Raw genomic sequence first — 24,083 nt, forward strand, 5'->3', positions numbered from 1 at the left:
ATATTTACTTAAGTATTTCCCCCCACCTCACTCACACACATGCTCCCCCACACTGGTTCCCTTAAATAGTTCCAGTAGAATTTTTTTTTTCCCTTAAGAAAGGAAAGAGAAAGTCCAACCACTACGGCAATACTTTTAAGCTCTACTAAATGATCGTATCCTTTCTGGCTTCGAAACTTTTGTACCTAAAAATCGAGAGAGGCGCTGCATTTTTTCAGTTGAAACTGTCAAAACTTGGAGAAGGGGGACCTCGGAGGCAGGCAGGAGAGGAGGAGAATCCTGAAAACTCGGTGGAGGTTGGGAAGATGCTGTGCCTCGAGGATTAGTTTAAACAGGGGGCTATAAAAGATGTAACAGATGCAAACTGTAACACAAGGGCCATTAACCCTTTCTCTGCCGGGCACACTCAGTCCCCACGCCCCACACCTATTGTCTCCTGTGCTAGAAGCTTTGCAGAAAACCTGGAAAGTGAGTATCAGTTTCCACACATTTGCTGAGAGGGGTGAAGGGAGGGGGGCAGAGAGAAGGGGAAGTGGATATTTTAGAAAGCACCTTAAATTTACCTAGGCATACATAGTAGGAGACTTTTAAGTTTGACATATTTTATCATTTCTTTCCTTGTCCTATTGATTTGAAATTGTTAGGGGAAATCCTGAAATAAAGAAATGGTCACACAAGTGTCTGGGATGAAACAGCTGGCCTGTCTATATTCATCCTGAGACACACGACTGCATATAAATACATGTTTAATAAAGTAAGTTGCTAGTTTTATGGGCATGTGTGTGTGTGAGAGAGAGAGACAGGGCATTTGTGCTGTAAACTTTATCTTTGCCTGTTACTCCTAAGTCTGGAGTTAGTAATCTTGCCTTCATCATTACAGGGGGAGCATGTAAAATATATCAGTAGGTGGGAGATAAACACATTCATGTTAGCCGGGCTCATCACTGTTCCTGGGAACTCCTGCTATCTCTCTCTCGACTTTTCAGTGCCAAAGTATGGAATGGGATATATGTGTGTATGTGTCTTCTATTAAATCCATGTCTATATTACTTTGCCACTAAAAATACAATTTTAAAAGTTATCCTAATTTAAAACCCTGATATCCTGACAGCAGTTTTCTTCCCAGCTGTAGTGCCCCCCCCTCCACTTTGGTAAACGACTCAAGTTCCATGAGGACTTTCACTTCTTTATTTATAATCACAGAAGTGAGGTGTTACTTCACACACATACACACACAAAGAATGAAATAAAGAAATGAAACTCGCTAAGCAGACAAAAACAGACAACTTTCTGCTTAGAAAACAGCCTTCTCGGTGGGAGAGGATGAACTGCCATGTCTAAGAGAAAGACTTGCCCCCGAATTTGTAGGTCTGTAACTGACCAAGTTTTGTAATTATTAACAGGTATTTGCCAAGTCCTAATTGCTGAATATAATGAATTGGAACTAGATGCGAAAATAGAGCAGGACCTCTCCCCTTGATGAGTTTTTATTCCAGCCATATAATTCTCAATAAAACTTTTCCTGGGCTGGATAGCAAAGGACACCTTTGGTTACCTGAATGAACAGGTACAGGGGAAATTATTTGGGGGAGGGAAAAAGGAGAGAAAAGCAAGGAGAGAGAGTGTGAGTGTAAGAGAAAGCGAAGAAGCCACTCTTGAGAAAAGCTTGCCATAAAGGAGCTAAACCCACCTGAAATTCCTACCCACGGACACCCCTTCTCACTTCAGACTCACATCCCCACTCAAAATGAGAAAATTAGAAAAGGAGGATGGAGGACGAGCACACCAAAAAGGGATAAAAAGAGAGAAAAGGGGAGGAAAAAAAACCTACCTGCGAAGTCTTGTTTGTAGTTTTGGCCAGAAATGGTGAGAAGAAAAAGCATGAAGAAGCCGCGAAGTGTGGGGGAGAAAAAGGTGGAAGCGAAGAAACAGCTCCCGGAGCAAACTGTACAAAAACCTCGCCAAGAGTGTCGGGAGGCAGGACCGTTATTCCTGCAGAGCAGGTTAGAACTGATCTCTTTCGGCCACTCCAGGAAACACAAACCTGGGGACGGACTGACGTGTTACGCCTCTTCTAATGACATTTTTTTCTTTTTCTTTTCTGTAGGAGAGAGACGAGAGACCCTGAAACACGCGCCACCTATCTTTGTGGGGAGGGATAATTGAAGCGCCCTGAGCGTGAGCATCATGTGAAAACGTGATCGCCAAGTTTCTCTCTGGGAAAGGATCTGGGATAGATTATACCTTGAAGTCTCCGCAAACGCTTTAGTGGAAGAAATGAAATTCCACCTCCCTCCCTTCCTCCTCTCCCTCCCTTTCGCCTTCGCCTCCCTCCCCCCTCCCTCCCTTCTCCCCCCCTCCACCCCCCCCTCCCCGCCCGTCAAGCCTTTGGCATCATTATCCTCATCACTAAATCCTACAGAGTACAGGGCGGAAAACGGTGCACACCATTCACAGAACTGGAGAACTCCAAGGGGCGAAAGTTAAAGGGAAAGATCCCGGGTCCTCAATCCAGATAGTCTCTTCTTATACAGATATCTCTAATGACCAGATTTGAGATGCACATCAAATTGTGTAGGTATCTCAGTACAGCTTCTGGAACAAAGTTCTCTGCCCTTTCTCTTATTGTTATTTTTTTCTTTTTAGGTACCAGAGCCAGAAAAAAAAATGCTGCATGGGAGCTGCATCTTAGGGCATGTGTATTAGGGTGTGTGCATGATGAATTTCTGGACTGGATCCCAATATTAAAAAGTAGTTTGGCATTTTAATAAAGGGTCTCTAAGTAAATTAAAATAGAACACTCGGTTGGCCGATCTCTGAATCTCTCTACACCTCGGGGAGACCTCACTACAAAGTAAGGGAGAGTGTGTAGGGAGGCAGGAGGAGAAACGAGAAAGGCCATAGAGAAACTTAGCAGGGAAGGGAGAGCATGATATTAAACGGCATGGGGTCTAAGTTTTGGAGTATATATTTTTTGATATTACAATTAAAGTAAGATTAAAAAGAAAAGACTCCACCTTTGCTCTGAAGGGATTGGTTATGCAAATATGGAAGGGATTTCCTGGAGAATACAGCTTTCTACTGTATGGTTAATTAAATAATCACTCAAAAGCTTCCAACGTGACGCTTCTGTCGTAATCCAATCAGGTTACATAGGTCCTAAACAAGAAAGATATTTTCCACATCTGGAAGTCAGCAATTTAGCAAGTACTGCACATTATTAACCAATTCAGAGCCCACTTCCCAGGGGAATTTTTTTGAAGTTTAAGTGTTCTTAACCAATGCTCTGCTGTTTTGTTAATCAAAAAGCTGGTTTACACTGCACATAATTGGAACTAATATAGAAGTAAATAAAGACAGCCAAATTTGAGGATGCTGAGCACAGGCATTTATCGGAAAAGGAAGAAATCTCCTATCCTCGGATGGTTCAGGCTCAATTTCTTAAATAACTGTGAGACTTTTTTTTTTTTCCTAAAGAGTGAAAGTGCTTGAGAACCTCAGAGCACAAATAAACTTCTAGCCTCACAGCATTTAGGATTCTTCGGAAAGGTAAAGGTGGAGGTGTTAAGAGGACCAGAGAGCTGCCTCACACCAATTTTTAAGCTTTAATATTGTTAAATATGTTACACCCTCCTGTTTCCAGTCTGATGAAATCTGAAACAAATAATACCCTGATCCAACACTATATTAAGATAAACTGCTTTGAACTGTGCTTTGAATGTGTGCCTAAAGCAAGACTTTGAATGCAAGAGTCACTGGCAATTGCACTCAAAGGAGGGACAAGCCACCACATGGGTTGCCACATCCACACTCCCAGAGGTATACGTCTTTGTATTTTGTATTTTTTTTTGCGGGGCGGGGGAGTGGGGTGGGGGTGGTTAATAGCTACCTAGCACGACCACAGCTAGATCTTGTTCTAGGATGCAAGAAAGTAGATTTTCACAGTTGGTTACTCACCTCTTTCCTAATTTAAGTATTTATTATAATGAAAATAGCTGCTGGATAAATTAACTCTCTCCCCCCACCCCATCACAGATAAAGTGTCTATAGAAGAAAGGCATTCAGGATCTTCAGCTTAAAAATTATTAATAAATAAAATCAAAGATTTTCAACATGGGTCAGGCACATTCTTAATTTTATATTTTACATTTCTTTCATTATTATATATCTATACTAAATATATGTGTGACTTATCAAGTTCCTCTTCTGAGATTTAGCACCACTGTTCATGTCCATTTTTCTTCCTCTTCCTTTTTTTCCTCTTTTTTAATTTAAAAGATTGGAATCCAGCTTTCTCTAGACGTTTGCTTTACAGCCACCCTTCCACCACTCCTAAGGAAGAAGGAGCCCTTTGCATAGAGTTATTACAGGCAAGACTCCTCTTCAGGCACCCAGGTAGCCATTGGAGGCTTACAGACCAGACACACACACAAGCATAACCTCAGGTCAAAGGATCCAATCGAATAGCTAACAAAACACTTGTCTTTATTATGTATATTAAATGTCAGGTTACTTAGGATCTGACTTAAAAAAAAAAAAAAAAACCCTAAGTATTTCCATTAAAAACACCTAATCATCTGATTACCCTGGACTCAGGAATTGCTCAAGTGGCAGGAGGCAGTCCCCAACATTTATCACTGGGAGTTCCGACTAGCCAGTATTTGATTTGGGGTGAAAAAGCAGTCTTCCAGGTTCCCATGAAGGTAGATATTTGGATGGTGGCACGGGAAGGGTCTCCGCGAGGGGTGAGCGCTGCGGCTAGGTTGCCTTGCCCCTGGTTCCTGACTGGCACGCCCCTCCCCAGGCATTTGGCCGAGAGAGTTCCCAACGTGGCAGAGGTGATGGGGTCGGGAGGAAGCCGGAATATAAATTTGTTCCGAACACTCCCTCAGTCCGAGGGCCAGTTCGGGGACAATGGGGATCGTGGGATCAGGAGGATGCAGGAGCACAGGACGCAGAGAAAAGTCGAGAGAGGACTGGGGGCTGCTGGCTTTCGGCTCCTCACACAGCAAAATAAGTCCTGCAAATGAATCTCTCCTTCTCTGTCTTCCCCATTAATAATCCACTTCGAGATTAGCGCAGACGAAAGAGATTAAAACAACAGATACACGGAAATGTGAAATAATATTGCAATCAACATTGAAGGGGGAAAAATAATTCTTTGGGGTTTCCATGGGCAAAACAAACTACCTCCCTCAGGATTCCCTCCACCCAGGCAGGGTGAGAAGGATGCACTTTTGTTTTCCAATTCCCTCCAGCCAGGACCTGGTGCCTGTCCCCCCATTCACCTCTCAGTCTGTCAATTTCCTCAACTTTCACAGCCGCTCCCCCCTCCCCCCGCTCAGCTTGGCGGCCCAGATGCCCGAAGAGATACAATGTTTCTGCCCTTGAACACACAGGCTGTAGAAGGAATTCGAATTTGGCCACAGCTAATGATTTTTTTTAAAGCAAATTCTGTTTATTTTGTACCATGTGGAGAAAATAAAAAAAGGAACCTATTCTCGTTTTGAAATGAAACTGATCTTTCATCTAGAGGAATTATTCGACCTTGTGTTGTGACTCAGGAGGTGGGCAACTTCTTTTGGAGTTGCAAGCAAAGGGTGATAAAGGGGACCCCTGGACTGGGTGTGTGTGGAGGAGGTGGGGGGCGGCAGGGGTCCAAGCCAAGCCAAACGGTTTTCTCACGTGCAGACTCGCAATCCAATCCATTCGGAGTTGAGCCTAGGATAGGAGGGGAAAGTCTATTAAAAAAAAAAAAAATCAGGAGCATCTCTCTGAGAAGCCCTTTCAAACAAAACCAAAACAGGACCAGAGAAGCTCAGACCGTCCCTAACATCCCTGCTGCGAGACCCGCAGGCTGTGGAATCTCGCACGTCACCTGGCCCCAGCAGGGCGGCCAGCTGAGGGGTTGATTTTATTTTATTTTTTTGAAGTAAAGGCTGAATCTCGGCTTCAGGGCTTTTGCCAACGTCTCCACTGACAGGAACCAGCAAACTTCAGGACCCAAATGAGCATCTTAATTTATTGATGCTAAACAGGTCTGGTTGTTGTCCCCAATTTTCCGCGCGCTCTGCCACTCCCCCCCCCACACACCCCGCCCCAACCCCCGCCGCCAGCTTCGGTCCCTGCATTTGATCTCCAGGAAGGGCCCCGCTGCACAGGCGGAGGAGCGCGTCGCGGGGGGGGGCGGTGTTCGGCCCCCTCCCACCAGACCGCCCTCCCCCAGACCTGTCCCCGCCCGGGATCCTGCGACCCCCGCCCGCCGCCCGGTCAGCTGACCTGGCTCGCTCGCCTGCTCCCCGCCCGCCGCCCTGTTTCCGGTCCCCGGGGTCCGCGAGCCGCGCTCCGAGCGGGCGCAGCCGCGGCCGGGAGGTGATGCCGGGGGCTGATTACCATGAGAAAGGCTGTGCCTGGAAAAGCCTCCTCCACGCGACTGTCAATCTCACTAAGGCTTGGGGGGCGGGGAGCGGGGGGGGGGACGGAAAGGGGCCCTGTAGGAGTCACCAGAAAACTTGGAGTAAGTTGGATGCGACGCAGGCCCGAGGAGGTGGCTTTCGCCTCAACTTGGAAGGCTGGGGCGTTGAGGGCGCGGACGCCAGCAGCCTCACCAGGGAATTGAAAACCAAAAATCTCCCTCCTGCTTTTCCTCCCTCTGGCCCTCCTTTCAGCCCTCCCTGCCCTTTATCCTTATTTTCTTGAAATTCTTTCCCAGTTGCATTTCCTACGTTCTCCTTTCTATCTGATATCTCCCTTTTGCAATTTCTTGTTTTGTTTCTTAACATCCACTCTTCTCCCTCGCTGTGATTCTTTTTGTGCCTCTTTTATGTGTCCAGATTTATCATTTCGTTTTGAAAACAGAACGTTTAATGTGTAATTAATCTACCAGCAGGAGGGCAGGGACACCCTGACTAAAATAACTCCCCGGGTCTCAGAGACGACAAGTTCACCAGGTGTCAGTGAAAAGTAAAATAATAATAATAAAAATAAAATAAATCAATATTTCAGTGACCATAATGGTTTATTCTTCTATATTATCACATCAGCTCAGACTGATAATTTTAAAAGACAAGATATAATAGATATAGTCTTCCTGGAAAAAATGCATAATGCTTGGCATAGGGGCATTCTTTAGAATTAAGGCAATGTGAAAAAGTTTGTTTACAGCCATATTTTAGTAGTACTTAATTTGTTAACAGACTTTAGACATTACAATAGGTAATTTTATGAAACTTAAACTGCGCTTTTCTTCTGATGACTATTTGCAAAGGGTAAAAAATTCCCAAAGCACTCCTCCTGAACCCCAACAAAGATTGATCAATTCAGAGAGAAACATCATCATGTCACGTAGTTTGCACATTACTAAGCAAATTCACAACTTGGGTTGTTGGGTTATTTTCTTGACTAGGCTAGGTTACTGTCCGTTACCTAGCAGGTGAGTGAGCATGAGGCGGCATATGTCATGAACATAACTGTTTTTGTTTTGTTTTCTTTATTATTATTTTTTGCTCTTCCCTTCACTTTGGGCATATTTGTTGTTCTCATTAAAATTCAGAGTTTTCACTTGTTTACAATTTGTTTACTTTGTTGAATTTTAAAAACTTGATAGAAGTCAATTGAACATGTATATTTAGCCCTTTTTAGGCCAAGAAAAATAAAGATGTATTAGAAAGATGCCTTTTCTGCTTCATAATTATTAATTGACATTTTATGATGAATAATTAATCATTTGAATAATTTTAGTATCTCTGATCTGAACACATATTTGCATATCTAATGCTTGATTTTAAATGTGTTTTTTAAAAATTCATTCTCTCAGGATGAAGAAACAAAGTCACATTTTAATGCAAAATTTCTCTTCTACACTTGTAAAAGTTTATTTATTGAGCTGTAATATTCTTTCTAGATATCCATAAACTTCTTAACAATTTGTAAACCATTTATGAGGCATTCACATACAAATATGTGGCACACTACAATTAATTAGGAAAAACAATACTCTATGTAAAATCAAGTCACTCTCCTCCCCAAATCCAGAGATGTGCACTAATTATGCACTATGTTTTCTTATTGGAATTTTGTCATTTAAATTTTTAGTTATGTCTATTAATTCAAGTCTAAAAGTGGAAAATTGCAGCAATTGACAAATAACTCAGGCCTGGTATTTAGGATCATTTTTTATCTTTTACTTACTAACATATGGGCTGATTTAAATTATTAAAAATGATTAAGTAAGTGTATCCCTGATATTTTTATTCTCCTGTGCCAGTTAAAGTCCAAAGTATTAATATCTATTTTGAATACTAGCCCTGCAAATGACTACCTGTGTGATTATAAGCAGTCTCCTATAAGCTTGTTTTATTTTTAATCTCCAATGTGGGTACACTAATAATGCTATCCCTTGGGATTTTATTGAGAATTAAATGAAGTAATGCATAAAACTTCACTATATTGTAGCTTTATTATTATAATGAAAGGTTAAACAAATATACAGATCAACTAAAGATGGTACAAATTAATTTTGATTATTAAAAATAACAACTATTTACAGTATATTTTTTATTGAAAAATCAGTGCTGTGTTATTACGTGAAGAAAGAAAATGAAAAGCATTTTAGGATTTATGGCTGGTTTATGATTTTTTCGAACTGTTCAAAGGATGCGTAGCCACAGAAGTGAAAATAAATACAGTATTTCCTTTCTGTTAGTTCAGCAGTTAATTTAGTGTATTCAATATGGTCATAATTTGGTTATAAATATTAGACTGCTTTTGAAAAGGAATTTAGTCCAAATGTATGAACTTGAAGTTTCCCATGCTCTTTAGTAACATATTGTCTTTTAGTGTAAGGGTTAAATGTGCAAAAGCTCAGAAGCGGTCTTGAGTAAGACTTGTGAAAAAAAGGGCAAACTTACAAATTTGAAGACCAGGAATTTGGCTGTCAGAGCACTGTTTGCTTTAAGACCATTCATAATGAACTGAGCATTCCCTTTTGGAATTGTAGCTGTCCTGGGGTTTGCGCTAATTTCAAGTACCTAGAGTGGTGAAGAAAATCAGTGTATTAAGTGGAAAATGAAATTCCCTAGTCTCTTAAATGTCCACAAGGCCAGATTTTCTTTTTGATGTAAAACTGAAAAATCAATGCAAATGCCAGGGGGAAAAACTATCGTGATGTAATACTAACACTGATAGTTTTTGGTTGTTCTTGTTTTCTTTAAGACTTCTCAAAACACTTATATCTGTAGTTCTTAAAGGGTCTGTTAATTGTTTCTATTTTGAAAGCATCCATTCCATGCTCCTTTTAGGTCAAAACTACCAAACCAGACATTTGGACATCAGCGTAGGGGACTGGGTGTGACCTGTACCTTTTTTCTCCCTCTGACAATGGGACTAGAAATGGTTTGCACCTGCAAATTGTCTAGTGACCTGGAAATTACTTCATGCTTGCTTCAAGGTCTTCTTTAATACTCTTTATTCTGTTAAAAGGCTCAAACTATAAACTTTGTTCTGTACTCAGTTTTAATTTTGTACCATTCTAAGGGTGAATTTTTTTTTTCAGGGTTCTTTCAGGTACTTAAATGTAAAAACTTTACTCTCAAAATTTATTATCATCTCCATGGCAATCACAAATATAAAGTAATAATAGCTAAGGAAAAAAAACCCCTGCTTTTCTAGGCTTGGCACTATGCTAAATCCTTTCACGTATCATTTAATTCTGATAGCAGATCTGAAGGGGTTACAACTGGGTCCATTTTATTAGCTGAGAAAATTGTGGCTTAGGGAGAGTCAGTGACTCCCCACAATTCAAGCATCTGGTTCTTGGTGTGCTTTTGAATCTGCCACGTCCACCCCCAGGGCCAACACCATATTCATGTGACATCCAACATCTTTTTACCTTTCCCAGATGTGTTTCTGACCCACTTGTGCCCACCCGCTCTGCACATTGTGACCCATTTCCAGGCCTCCTGGATGCTGTGATTGGCCCTTGTTTTTCCATGTATGGCTTATTTTGCCTTTTGGACCTAACACTTAGGCTCATTTTTCCAGTTACAATATTGGCTCAAGTCCTTGAGCCAAAGTTTCTCTGGCTTTGGTGCCTCTGGCTTCCCAGATAAAGTGTATTTTCTGGTCCAGTCTCTTCTCCCAGGCACCCGACTTAGGAAAAGCTCCCATGGGAGGTTCTTGCTAGCTCAACTGGCTCCAACATTGGGCCCAGGCACAGGACAAGTTAGTGATGAAGGAGACATCATGGTCCAGAGATGTCGTGGAATAGTTTTTATTTCTTATACAACTTCTGTTAGCACTTGTTGACTGGAAACTGGACATTAGTATATTTGACACTAGATCCTCAATGTTAGCATATTATAGTGACAAAGATACAGGTTTTGGAATTAGATAAACTGGATGTGGCTCCCTGCTTGGTAAATACTAATTGTGTATTGAGGACAAGTTATTTTACCCATGTGAAATTATTTTTAAAGTAGGCAAAGGAGCTGGGTGCAGTGGCTCACGCCTGTAATCCCAGCACCTTTGGAAGACCGAGGAGGGTGGATCACCAGGTCGAGAGTTCAAGACCATCCTGGCCAGCATGGTGAAACCCCATCTCTACTAAAAATACAAAAATCAGCCAGCCCGGCGTGGTGGTGCATGCCTATAATCCTAGCTACTCGGGAGGCTGAGGAAGAGAATTGCTTGAACCCAGGAGGCAGAGGTTGCAGTGAGCCGAGATGGTGCCACTGCACTCCATGCACTCCAGCCCGGGCAACAGAGCGAGACCCTGTCTCAAAAAAAAAAAAAAAAAAAAAAAAAATTGGTAAAGGAGTACTTAGATTCAAGCTGGTTGTGGTAAAGAAAATATGACTGTATACAAAATGTCTGGCACAGAGCAGGTGTATCAATAAATAGTAATTCCTACTATCATGAATTACCTGAAAAATACATGAAGTTAAATTATGGAAAACCAGAGTGGATGTAACATGTCTTTTAGGTGTTGTTTATTTTATTTTATTTTTATTTTTTATTTATTTATTTTGAGACGGAGTCTCGCTCTGTCACCCAGGCTGGAGTGCAGTGGCACAGTCTTGGCTCACTGCCAGCTCCGCCTCCCAGGTTCAAGTGATTCTCCTGCCTCAGCCTCCCGAGTAGCTGGGATTACAGGCACCTGCCACCACACCCAGCTAATTTTTTGTATTTTTAGTAGAGACGGAGTTTCACCATGTTGGCCAGGCCGGTCTCGAATTCCTGACCTCAGGTGATCCACCCACCTCGGCCTCCCAAAGTGCTGGGATTACAGGCATGAGCCACTGCACCCGGCCAGAAATTATTTAACTGGTTTCTGCATTATACAGAAATCAGTGTTTACTGATAAAGTTGGAAAAGTAATATGGTCATAGAATTTCTTAAGTTGTAGAAAACCTGGCGTGCTCATGATTATAAATATGATGTCAACAGCTGAGATGAGGACATATGCACACTTTAAAATTTGGTGATCTATTTTATACTTTCATTTGCAATTGTAAGGAAAAAACCTTTCTTCAGCGAATTCTCCCGATATGACTTGCTATAGGAGGAAGCACTCTTGCAGGCAGCTGAGTGTGGTCAAGAAGTGTCAAAGATCCTATTTGTTCAAGGTAAATATAAGAGGGTCTCAATATTGTTCAAAACTCTTTACCTAGTCTTGCCATAACTTCAGAGGTGTGAAGGAGTGGGGAGACATAGAGGGATGGAATAGCACTGAGAAAGTTTGCCTGCACTATCTTTTTCCACCCCCCAACCCCTCTTGCCCCCAGTTGAATGCTGAAACAGCTACTTTAAAAAAGAAAAGAAAAAAGTAAGACTATGTATAGAGTACAGACATTGCTTCACTCTCCTGCCTGCAAATTTGGGAGTAGGGTTGTGTCAGCAGGTCCTGGCATGATCTACTGTGTATGTGACTCTGCTACCCTATGCCCTAGAAAGGAGGGTGTCCGGGGAGGATTGGGCTGTGGACACAGGGAGCATATTGTTCCAATGGTTCTGCTACAGTGCAAACCAGGCTTCTTTCTCTCTCTCTGGAACTAACTTTGCTACACATGCAAAAAAATCTGTTCCTATTAGGTTTTTCCCTGGCCATTGTGGAAGCATAAGTATGGCTCCTGTGGCAAAGGCATAATTTCTCTGTGTTGAGGGAAGCTGGCTTACCTGTTGTTCTTGGCACTCAGCTAGCACCCTTCTAGACAAGAGGGAAAGAACAAAGCTGAAAGTTCACAGAAAATATTTGGTGTTTTAAAACAAGAAGGAAAAATTAAAACCCCATTCTTTTAAAGCTTAATTTATCTATCTTCTAAGAATTTGGAATTTCAGTTTAGAGAAATCAGTATAGTCCTGAGTTATATTATTACCTAATGTCACATAGCTCTATGGGATATTGAAATATTATTTGTTACAGCCTAAAGATGATCTATATTCAAGTTTTGCTTCTCCCAAGGAGGATTCTTGCATGGTTGAAGAAAACATTCAGGGTTAGGTGAAATATGCTTGTGAATGACATTTGAAATCACCTTGGACTTTGAATTTGAGGGACAGTAATGCTTTTATGATATTAACGCAAAGCACCGTCACTTGGAAAATTTTAAACTATTGCTTCATTTATGATCTCCAAATAGTAATTTATTTGACAAAGGAAGGTGATTTATCACGGATGTCTCTTTTGCAACCCCCTGGAACAGTGCCTATTATATAGTAATATTTGTTGCTGTTTGTGGAATCCGTCATTCATTTAGAAGCTTTAGGGAGATACAAACTGATCTCCTACTGAAAACTTACAACTTGAGATAAGAATGAGGACAGATGAGGGTAGCAGGCAGGGACCATGGGTACTTAAGACCCTACACGCTCCTTTTTACAGACTTATGTACTTGATTACATTGTTTAACACAAACTGTTTTATTCCTCTTTTTTTGTGTCACTTTTATACACAGCCTAAAAAAGAATTGAAGGAGCAAAAACAGAGCTGCATGTGTATGTTTGTCTCATTCTTTAAATAGATGACTCAGATGAGCCTTCTTGTAGTTTGTTTTTAAGTAAACACATGAAAATATAATAGGTTTTCTCTGATAAAGGAAAGAAATAATAAGGAGAGAATGGAATGAACTAGAAGAGGTGTGTTGCTTAGGAAGGCAAGGTGAAGTAGTAATTTAGGATAAATGATCCCTTTCCCCTCCAATCCCACACAATAACTAAAGAAGGAAAACAGAGAAGATGAGTTTTGTTTTGTTTTTCCTTCTATAAGTAAATGGACAGGCTCTACAGATAATGGGTTCGATGATTTTCTTGCTAGCAGCTTCATTTTCATGTAGAACAACTGGTTGCCCAAAGGTATTAAGGGGAAAGTTTGAGCCCTGATTTTAATGCTTTCTCCAATACCCTTCCCGCCCTCTTTTTGCTCCCCCCTGTTTTCGGCCTTATTTCTTGGGGCCCTCACCTCTTCTTACCTTTCTTTTGATACTCTGTATTTAGAGGGAATATGCTTTCAATGCTAGGCTTGTTCACAGCCTTCAACATGCTTAGCCTTTAAATAATAAGATATGACCCTAAGATTTGAAAATTTCATTGTGCTACAGAATATTGCCTAGAGGAAATGGAATGTTTACCTGAACTATGTTATGACAAAGGACAGTTCAATACTATTATTACATGCCCAGTACCTACCATAGTGCTTGGTTCATGAGAGGAGCTGTGTAAATGTCTGATGAATGAGTGAATGAATGTACGTATGCATAAATGCTATAAAAAAAGCCAGACTTAAGATAACAGATACCATTTGTTCTACATGGCAAATTAAAGTTAAAAGGTATGAATGCAGGTGCAAGAATCACCTGTGGGTACAAACGGAATTCTGATATTATTTTTGAATTCTGGGTATGATATTTTATTTCCGAAATGAAATACCTAAATCATTTAAAAAGCAATATAGATATATAACAGTTCCTCATTCGCTCACTTGCAAAGGAAATTTTCAATACAAATAAAGTCATACATATTTATACTAGGGTAATTCAAAATAACTTCCTCACATAAGCACTGCTACGTTCAAATAAAATCTTGCCAACACTTCTGAGTACATTGGTTTAAGAAAAAAATGCTCCCCGTAGCGTCCGAACTATTTAAAAATCTCACAGGCTTCTTCAACATACATCAGTTATCTCTCTTCAAATCACTGACAATAATTTAAAAACTGCTTCATCAGAACAAATGCTACCCTTTCTCCTACTCTAGTTAGAACCTGATCTTCTAAAAAGGACCATATTTACAGCTTCTTTTGAAATTTTAAAACCATTTGGCTGATATGTTTTTGCTACATTTTTTCCTGATTTAATTACTGGGACATTTGCATGAAAACAGGAAAATAGGGACATAAGATTTTTGTCTTGTGAGTTCATCTGTTTCTGATGCTTACTCTCCACCTGAGATCCATATCTGTTTTGTTACAACTGGGAGACCAGGAGCTAGATTTGAATTGATAAAGATATTGTTAGAGGTGAAATGAAGTTCAAAACTAGGGACTCAGGAGGCTAAGAGATTGATGGATGATATGATAATTAATTTTCTTCTAGGTTATTTATTTATGAGCAGTCCATATTGTCAGTGACACATGGCATTGCTATTGAAAAGCTTAAAATCCAGGGAATGATACAGAACTAGAGTGTCAAGACTTCTCTGAGAAAACCACACCCAGGTAGTTACTGCTTGTCATGGATTGACAGATGTCGGAGAAAACAGTGAAGGAGCTGAGTCTAGGTCATGTATGAACTCAAGATGGCCACTGAAAGTTGGAAAGAAAAGAAGCAAAATGCCCATCTAATTCTGATTACCTTCCAAATGCCTGTGATTTTTCACTAGGAGAATCAGAGAAGGCTATCAGGATAAATTCTCAGCATCTTCACCTGGAGTTCCATGGCATGTAGAAATTTACATTTTCAAAGCTAAAGTCATAATCTTGTTCTAACTTTTTATTTCTCCAATATACTCCAACTTGTTCAGTGGCACCAGAGTCTCGCCAGTCTTCTAAACTCCAACTCTAGGTTTATCCATGACTCCTCTCTTTTCCTTTACTTCCACATTCAAGCACTCCATATGGCTAAGCAGCATACCTCTGCCTGTTTCTTAAAGCATTGCTGTCCTCCAACACTCCCTACCCTACTTTAGCTACTCATCATTTCTTTCCTGGAAGGCTGTGCCCGCCACCTAACTGGCCTTCCTGTTTTCACTCTTTCCTCCTCACATCTATTCTCCACGCCATCACCAGAGTGAGTGATTGCTCTAAAACAAAGGTCCCTAACCCCCAGGCCACGGACCCGTGAGGAACCAGGCCACACAGCAGGAGGTGAGTGGGAGGCAGGCAAGCGAAGCTTCATCTGTATTTACACCTGCTCCCCAAGGCTCACATTACTGCCTGAGCTCCGCCTCCTGTCAGATCAGCAGTGACAGTAGATTCTCATAGGAGCGTGAACACTATTGTGAACTGCACATGTGAGGGATCTAGGTGGTGAGCTCCTTATGAGAATCTAATGCCTGATGATCTGTCACTATCTCCCATCACCCCCAGATGGGACCATTTAGTTGCAGGAATACCAGCTCAGGGGTCCCACTGATTCTACATTACGGTGAGTTGTATAATTATCTAATTGTATATTACAATGTAATAATAAGAGAAATAAAGTGCACAGTAAATGTAATGCTCTTGAATCATCCCAAAACCATTCCCTCAATCCCTGCATCTGTGGAAACATTGTCTTCCATGAAACTGACCCCTGGTGCCAAAAAGGTTGGGGACCACTGCTCTAAAACATATTTCTGCTCATGCCACTGCTGACAATAAAACCATCAGTGGTTCTCCATTTCATACCTGCTGTGTTTCTCAAATCTTTCCTCAAAGTAACTATAAGGATGGGTATTTTAATGTTTACAAAGATTGTTTTGAATCAATAGTTCTTCAACGTCAACCTTGTTTATCTCCCATACTGTTGGGCAAAATCAAGAATCCAAGAAGCTGGGTCATGTTAATCCTGTTTGTCCCTAGAGTTTGATTTGCACAGTGTGAGAAGCAGAGAGCCAACCGGAGAAACTATAGGTTCTTTAGCAAAGCATATGAGTCACCTCACCTTTTTTTTTTAGCCTTGAAATAGTGTTTTTATAAAATTATTTTTAATGTTTTTCATTTCAATAGTTTTTGGGGTACAGGTGGTTTTTGATTACATGGATTGGCTCTTTGGTGGTGAATTCTGAGATTTTAGTGCACCTGCTACCCAAGCAATGGACATGGTACCCAGTATGTAGTCTTTTATCCCTCACTCACCTCCCAACCTCCCACCCTGCATCCCCAAAGTACATTATATCACTCTGTATGTTTTTGCATCCTTACACCTTAGCTCCCACTTATAAGTGAGAACATACAGTATTTGGTTTTCCATTCCTGAGTTATTTCCTTTAGATTAATGATGAGGCTCTTTTAGGTGGAACATTTTCATTTCTTCAACCTCCTCTCCCACGATTCTTCAAATGGCTTATACGACTTCTGTAATATTGTTTATATTTTTTCATGAACAATGCATGTTGTTTCCAGTGTTAGGGACCTTTCCTATCCTATTTACTCTACCCGGAATGTTCTTTCCTTCTCCCTTCATGTGACTGACTTCTGTTCACTGCTTAACTCAGGTCATATGCCATCTTCCCCTGGTTCCCAGGCTGGCTTTCTGTGTCCAATTATTTGTTTATATATCTTCTTTTTACTAGAATATGACCTTCTCTGAGGATAGAGACATTGTCAGTTTCATCAGTATGCCCCCAATTCCTAGCAAGTATCTGGCACATAGTGGACACTTAAAAACACTTTTTGAACTGAGTATGAATACCATGGTACAAATTAATTTTCATCACTGAACAAGGAACTCCACATGCAGGCATGTTTTACTGACAATGCATTCAGCCACAGGAAGGCTATAGCATTCCCTCACTTCATATTAATAGGAGTACCAAAAGTTGGAACTGTCTCATTGGATTTTTGAATAATTTGCATTTAGTTTAGACATACATTTGCAAAAGTATTGAAATAAAAATACCTTTTACATGTGAAACATTTTAGAATTTCAAAGCTTTTTCACATGCATGATCTCACTTAATCCTTAAAATAAACCCTCAAGGTTGGCAGATATTATTTTGCCCAGTTTGGAAAAAAAGGGGATTTAAGATTTTGATGGAGTAAGACAAAATAATCAAACCCATTTTGGAAGTCTCAAGTATGTTTCAGATGTGGAGGCATCTTTGTGAAACCGATAAAGGGTAAATATTATGGGACAGGTAAGGAAACAGTGCTGAAAGGACTGGATCAGTCATTCGGGGCCACTGTCTAAGTAAAAATTGAACCCAGAGTCCTATGACTCAGTTTAGTCCTGACACAGTTCCTTATGCAGAGAAATCATGTGTGAATACATAATAGAAAGGAAGCCTTGGTTTTAGGAGAGCAACCTGAAGAAATTATTTTTTTTCTTTTCTTTCTCATAACTGGTTTGTTACTTGTCCTAGGTACACAAAGATACCAAACTATAAATAGAGTTGTTCAAGAGAGTAGTTTGGTAGTGAAATTGGAAAACTATTTGGGTTTATTTGGGAATAAGAGAGTAGGGCAGCAGGGATCCTATAGAGACTGAACGTTAAAAAAATAATGTGTCATTTTTGTGATATATTAATTAAATTCTTTTAGGTTTAAGTAAGCATAATGAGACTATCTGAATGCGTTACAGTAATTTTCTTTCTTTCTTTCTTTCTTTCTTTCTTTCTTTCTTTCTTTCTTCTTTCTTTCTTTCTTTCTTTCTTTCTTTCTTTCTTTCTTTCTTTCTTTTTTTTTTTTTTTTGAGACAGAGACTCACTCTGTCGCCCAGGCTAGGGTGCAGTGGCATGATCTCAGCTCACTGCAACCTCTGCCTCCTAGTTCAAGCAATTCTCCTGCCTCAGCCTCCTGAGTAGCTGACATTACAGGCATGTGCCACCATGCCTGGCTAATTTTTGTATTTTTAGTAGAGATGGGGTTTCACTGTGTTAGCCAGCTCAAACTCCTGACCCTGTGATCCGCCCACCTTGGCCTCACAAAGTGCTGGGATTACAGGTGTGGGCCACAGTGCCCGGCCGTTACAGTAATTTTCTGGAATTTTTTCTGATAAATGTTAGTCCCCCCCAAAACATATTTTTTTGTAGTTCTGTTGTTGAATGTAACACTACCCCCAGTAAAAGGCTTTTACTTCACTTTACTCAGAATTTTGTAAAACAAATTTAGCAAATGCTCTTTTGAAGGGAGAAAAATTTCACAGAAGTGAAATAGTAGGTAAAAACATTATTTAACATAATTGTGCTTTAATTCACTCTTGAGAGGGCAGAGATGCAAAATAAATTCTGTATATACTGTAAAGCAACAACTGAATGGAAAGATACTTATAATCTTCTTTTCTATCCCTGGAAGTTGGTTAAACAGTTTTTCAAAATATGCTTCTATGCATAAATATTTTGAAGTTTAAGTAAATGTGTTGGCTAATGCATTGGTATTATCAGCCAATTAATAAATTCAAGTATGTGATGGGACTAACTTTCCCAAGCTAGTGGTTACTTGACAATTGCACATGTGTATCATATATTTATCCATCCAGCAAGAGCTTGTTCATTCCTTTCTATGTGCTGGCTTCCTTGCTGGGAATAGCATAAAACAGTAATCAAGACAGACTGGGTCCTTGCAGGCTAGTAGGGAAGACAGACTGTGTATGATGAATGCTGTTGGGAGTATAGAAGGCAGGCTCATCAGTCAAATGATAGCTACAAAATAAAGTGAAGGTGAGAGTAGATCTTCCTAATGCACAGGAGGTCAGGTCCTTGAAATCCATCAACCACCACTGAAATTAGTTTAAATCACCTGTGATGTGTTATAACCCTTCTAGGCTGGGGTAAAGGCATATTGGGACCTCAGAGTAGGCTGGAAGAGAGAGAGGATAAAGCCTGGTATCAGAGCTACAAGGAGAAAGGCCAATGTTTCAATGATAATAGCTAAAGGGCTTTGGTGAACAAAGCTCTCAAGAAGCTGACCTCAGTACCCAAGGGCTCATATTGGTGGGCAGGAGGCTTGCCAGTATTAGGCAATGTCTTGTATTTGCTGCAGGGCCTCCCTCAGTTGGAATACGACCCCAGTCAGCTGTGGAGGGGGGTCTCATGAACAGGCTGTGACTCTTGATAGAAGATTGGCAAGGACTAGACAGATTATCCGGGGAGCAGCCTCAAACTGGGTGGGGTTCAGGCCAGGGCATAATTCCATGAGAGAATCAGAGTGCAAAATGGGCCCCACAGCAGATACAATGAGTATGTCGGAAGGGATTGGGGGTTTGGGGCTGCTCCTTAGGGGCTTTAGGGTCCCTGACATCTTCTTAGATGTCAGGCTCAGTGCAGCAGTCTCTTTCTCACTCCTCATCCCCCTCTTCCTGCCACCACTGCCCCTCTTTCTATCATGTTCGTATCCTGGTTCTGTTATGCCCAAATATTGAATAAGGCTTCTGTTGGCAACAAGCGCTATTAATAGCTTTTGAATGTGAATTTGACTTTTGTTGGGAGAATATTATTTTCAGTAACTGTCAGCTCATTAAAATATATTATAGGTGGGGTCTGAGTTTCTGCTGTGAAAGGTTATGACGCTTAAAATTAAAATAAACAAATAACTTCAGTATTTTGATTTACTTATTGACTCTAGTATTTGTACATTTTTGTAACCAAAATGCAAAAGTGATAACAGAACTATAAAGAAGTCATTAACTAGTGACTATATTAATTTTTTTCTTAATCATCTTTACTACTTTTTCTTTTTCTTTTTCTTTTTTTTTTTTGAGATAGGGTCTTACTCTGTTGTGCAGGCTGTAGTGCAGTGGTGCAATCACAGTTCACTGCAGCCTTGGCCCCTGGGCTCAAGCGATCCTCCCATCTTCGCCTCTGGAGTAGCTGGGACTACAGGCAAATGCCACCACACCCAGCTAATTTTTGTATTTTTTGTAGAGATCAAGTTTCCCCATGATGCCCAAGCTGGTCTCGAAGACCTGGGCTCAAGCAATCCACTCACCTCAGCCTCCCGAAGTGCTGGGACTATAGGCGTGAGCCACTGTGCCCAGCATCATCTTTACTATTTTCTTTTCTTTTTTTTTTTTTCCGAGACAGAGTCTCACTCTGTCGCCTAGGCTGGAGTGTAGTGGTGCAATCTCGGCTCACTGCAACCTCCGCCCCCCGGGTTCAAGCAATTCTCCTGCCTCAGCTTCCTGAGTAGCTGGGATTACAGGCCCACACCACCATGCCCGGCTAATTTTTGTATTTTTAGTAGAGATGGGGTTTCACCATGTTGGTCAGGCTGGTCTTGAACTCCTGACCTTGTGATCCACCCCCCCCTCGGCCTCCCAAAGTGCTGGGATTACAGGCTTGAGCCACCGCGCCTGGCATCTTTACTATTTTCTTAAAAGAACTAAATAGCATACATGCCTATGTTCTTACTGTGTAATGGATTGGGGGTGTTTCGAAATGGACCTAATAGACATAAGATCATTGTTTACCTTTTTGCCCAACTTTATTTTAAAAAGTCATATAAAAATGGAAATTTATTCACTCTCATATCTGTGTTCTCAGGTGTATTTTAATAAAGATGGAGCCAGGCAGTTTTAACTTGGCCACTTATCACTTGAGCAAGTAAATGTGGCTAAGTCACTTAGCTTCTGTGGGCCTCAGTTTCTAATCTATAAGTAAAAGATAATAGTGCCAACCTAATAGGTTTGTGATTTAGAGCAAATGAGACAGTGGGGATCCAAGTGCTTGTTAGTTGTAAAGTGCTAATGCAGGTGTTGGGTATTTATATTCAGATGCAGGTTATGCCCACATCATATAAATTAAATGTGAATGCGTTCAAAAGCTCAACCAGCTCCTGAGGCAAGAAATGTAAAATGGCAACAACTAAAAGGGTCAGTGAAACTCTTGGCGTCTAACCAGTCCTCTCCAAAATATTTTCTGATGGTATATTTCAAAATATGAGAAAAGATAAAGGAATGAAAAGAACTGACCTTTTTCTCTAACCCTTAAAACATTTTCTCTCTGAAGAAACTCTGCCATAGAAACTTCAGGCCTGACTCAGTACTAAAGGTGACCATTGAAAGGACAGTTTAGAATGTTGTATTTATGCAAGTGAGGTGCCATGAACATGTACTTGTCCGAGGTGGACATGATCAGAACAAGCTTGTTCACAAAGCCCTTCCCTCATCCTTGGCCATGAGTCACAAAAATCTAACATCTGGACATAAAATACTTCCCTGAACAAAAGTTGAAACTTTTGCATATATGTGTTTGTGTATCGAATATATAAAGGAAGAAAAAAATGGAGACAACAGACTCTTTCGTTGACTCAAATTTACGGCCAAATTTTAATAACACAGCTGTCCATATGTGAGACACTAATGAGAACATAAGGAATTCCTGGATAGAAAAGGGATGGTTGGCCCAATGGCCTGTCCCCTTCAAGTTTATTGCAACACACCTCTTTGTGTTGTCAGCATATCTTCCAACCCCTTTTGCCTACATAAACATGTCTAGCTGTCTCTTAAACTCATTTTTACTTTATGTTTCACTCAATGGACTTATTTGGTAATTCACAGTATTTCCCATATGCCTGTAGTTCTCTGGATGAAGTAGTCCTACATTATCACTACTTCTTAATTAATTATGTAGAAATACTTTATAATAAAGTATTTACAGCAGACATAATTAGAAATTTGGAAGTAATTAACTGAGAAAACAAATATACCTACAGTGAATATAGAAACAACTGTTCTTTTGCTAATCTATATTCCAATTTTTCATAAAGATATGAAGAAGTAGGTGGATAGTGATTAAGGTGGGTAAATATAAAAACTTTCCTTTTATGATATTAGTCTTATTAGCACATCTCTTAGCAAGGAGAAAATGCTAAGCCTAATTGATGTAATAAAGAAGATGATCTGATGTTTTTATTTAGGTTGGGTTAAAGCCATATTCCAGAAAATATTTTTATTTCCTTAATCATATCAATGTTGCAGGTTAATGTAAATTTGATGTGAATTATTAAAAAAGAATATAGGAATGATTTTACATGAAAATTTATTTTTAAAAAAACTTTCCAAATGGTGGTGGGCCAGTGGGCTTGGGGTGAGTTCTTAGGTTGACTCTGGGTCCTTCTGATTAAAAAATACACCTGAAAACTTCCTTTAATTTGATTGGCATCAAGGAATTGGAAATAATTAAAGAATGCTAGGGAGAACTGATAAATAATTAATGTATAATTTAGCTGAATATTTTGCATTTTAATTTTTTGAATGGTATTATTTTAAAATTATTTCAATATATATATGGTGATCTGATGTGTGTGATGACATTACACATCAGTTCTCGTCTTTTATTGACAAACACCAAGAGTGACCAACTTGCCCTCTACTCACCCTGAACTTTACCGGTTTTAGCCCCAGGAATCCCATGTCTTGTGAATCTGCTCAGCTCCAGGAAAACAGGTACAAACACATACTTAAAAATACAAATAATTTGCCTCTGAAATGTGCTTGGCTTTTTGGTCTGCATACTCTTCAGACCCTGGGAACACAAACATTGTAAGTGTTACATCAGCATTAAGAATTTTGCTTTGTTGTTCTAAAAGCCCATGTTCGGGTGTCACCACCTTGGTGACTACGGAGAAATATAACCCATGCGTTGTTTTTTTTCTTTTAAATTGTTTCCAAGCTCAGATGCTTGATGGTTTATGTATGTATGTATGTATTTATTTATTTAAAAAAGCTGAAAAAGCTTTGAAAATCAAACCTATTTTCTTCTAAACGTTTTTCTCTCAAGTACTTGCTCTCCAGACACACAGTAAGATACATCCTGAATCTGGCACCTTGAGTGCTCCCCCAAATCTCTGAAGCCTAAGCCATATCTATTGTCCAGTCTATGGTAGAAAAAAAGTGAACTACACTGAGTTATTGTAGTCTTGTTTGTCTCACAATTAGAAGAATTCTGCAGGTATTTTGTTAGTTTTAAATTTGCGGACTGTGACTTCTGAACTCTTTCGAGGAGGAGGTCTCAATAAAGAGCATGCTTCAGTCTACTCCTTAATGATTTTTAGCTTCAATGAAGCAATTTGCAAGACTCCTCTTCCTAACAACTGCTCTGCCAAGCATTGTATAAAATAACATTCTTTATGGTTAGATGATTCCATGGAAGATGACCAAAAGGTTTTAAATACAGAGGAATGTACAGAAAAACACTGTACCCTTTAACTGTCACATCTCCCCTATTCCATCCCTTCATCTCCTTCATACAGGATTTCTGCATTTTTTTCATATGCATGCTACATCTCTGTGGTAGCACCTTGTTCTCTGTGTGTGTGTATGCAGGAATGTGTGTGTGTGCATGAATGTGTGTAAACATGTACTATTTTTAGCTGTAGAACATGACACAAATTTCTTTCCTCATCACCATGATGCATGACTGATCCATTTCATATGATGTGTTTAGTATGGTTCATTGCCCACTGGTCTTATTATTTAACAATTTGCATTAAATTAAATTTTCTGTTTACAGGTGTAAATGGAAATTTTGGCTTCTGAGAATTTATTTACTGGATAGAATGTTCTTGGTTGAATTAGCTCTGCCAATATTGGATTGCTTATACCTGGAATAAAGTCTGGGATATTTAATTAGAATATCATAGCAAGAGAAACTTATTATTTTTATGGCTAAGCTTAAGCTACTGAGGCCAGTATCATTAGTCTAGGAGACATTTACTATAATTCTCCAGAGATTTTTTAAAAAAAAACCACGCGTATGTCTTGACGGATGAGAGGTAGTTAAATTAGTGGTAATGTGTACAAATTACTCAAAAGTTCAAAAAGCTTGAAACCTTTATCATCTGCTATAACATTTTGTTGATAAGTGGAAATTTCTCATTTTAAACTCTTTTGGCTTCCAACAGGCTCAAAGAGCTAATATTTATTGACTGCATACTGTTTGCCAGGTTCTAC

General features: G+C 40.0%; 1 protein-coding gene and 3 long non-coding RNA genes across 6 annotated transcripts in view; 2 read left to right on the top strand and 2 right to left on the bottom strand.

The window, feature by feature from the left end:
- The window catches only part of ZEB2 (zinc finger E-box binding homeobox 2), a 136,039-nt gene extending 134,027 nt beyond the window's left edge, over positions 1–2,012 (bottom strand). For all 3 annotated transcript variants that reach the window (NR_033258.2, NM_001171653.2, NM_014795.4), the window contains exon 1: positions 1,832–2,012. The gene's annotated coding sequence lies outside the window, so the exon portion shown is untranslated. The remainder of the gene's footprint in view (positions 1–1,831) is intronic.
- On the top strand, positions 1,507–2,792 carry ZEB2-AS1 (ZEB2 antisense RNA 1). Its single transcript, NR_040248.2, has 4 exons — positions 1,507–1,567; positions 1,852–2,003; positions 2,108–2,178; positions 2,647–2,792. It is a non-coding gene; the product is annotated as a ZEB2 antisense RNA 1 (long non-coding RNA).
- The window catches only part of LINC01412 (long intergenic non-protein coding RNA 1412), a 57,567-nt gene continuing 37,244 nt past the window's right edge, over positions 3,761–24,083 (top strand). Inside the window, exon 1 of the long non-coding RNA NR_110570.1 lies at positions 3,761–3,819. This is a non-coding gene — a long non-coding RNA (long intergenic non-protein coding RNA 1412). The remainder of the gene's footprint in view (positions 3,820–24,083) is intronic.
- Positions 5,437–6,337, bottom strand: LINC02993 (long intergenic non-protein coding RNA 2993). The gene is made up of 2 exons (NR_136320.1): positions 6,280–6,337; positions 5,437–5,721 (listed from the first exon to the last, which is right to left on the bottom strand). It is a non-coding gene; the product is annotated as a long intergenic non-protein coding RNA 2993 (long non-coding RNA).

The sequence above is a fragment of the Homo sapiens genome, chromosome 2, assembly GCF_000001405.40.
Source record: "Homo sapiens chromosome 2, GRCh38.p14 Primary Assembly".
Classification (NCBI taxonomy): domain Eukaryota; kingdom Metazoa; phylum Chordata; class Mammalia; order Primates; family Hominidae; genus Homo; species Homo sapiens.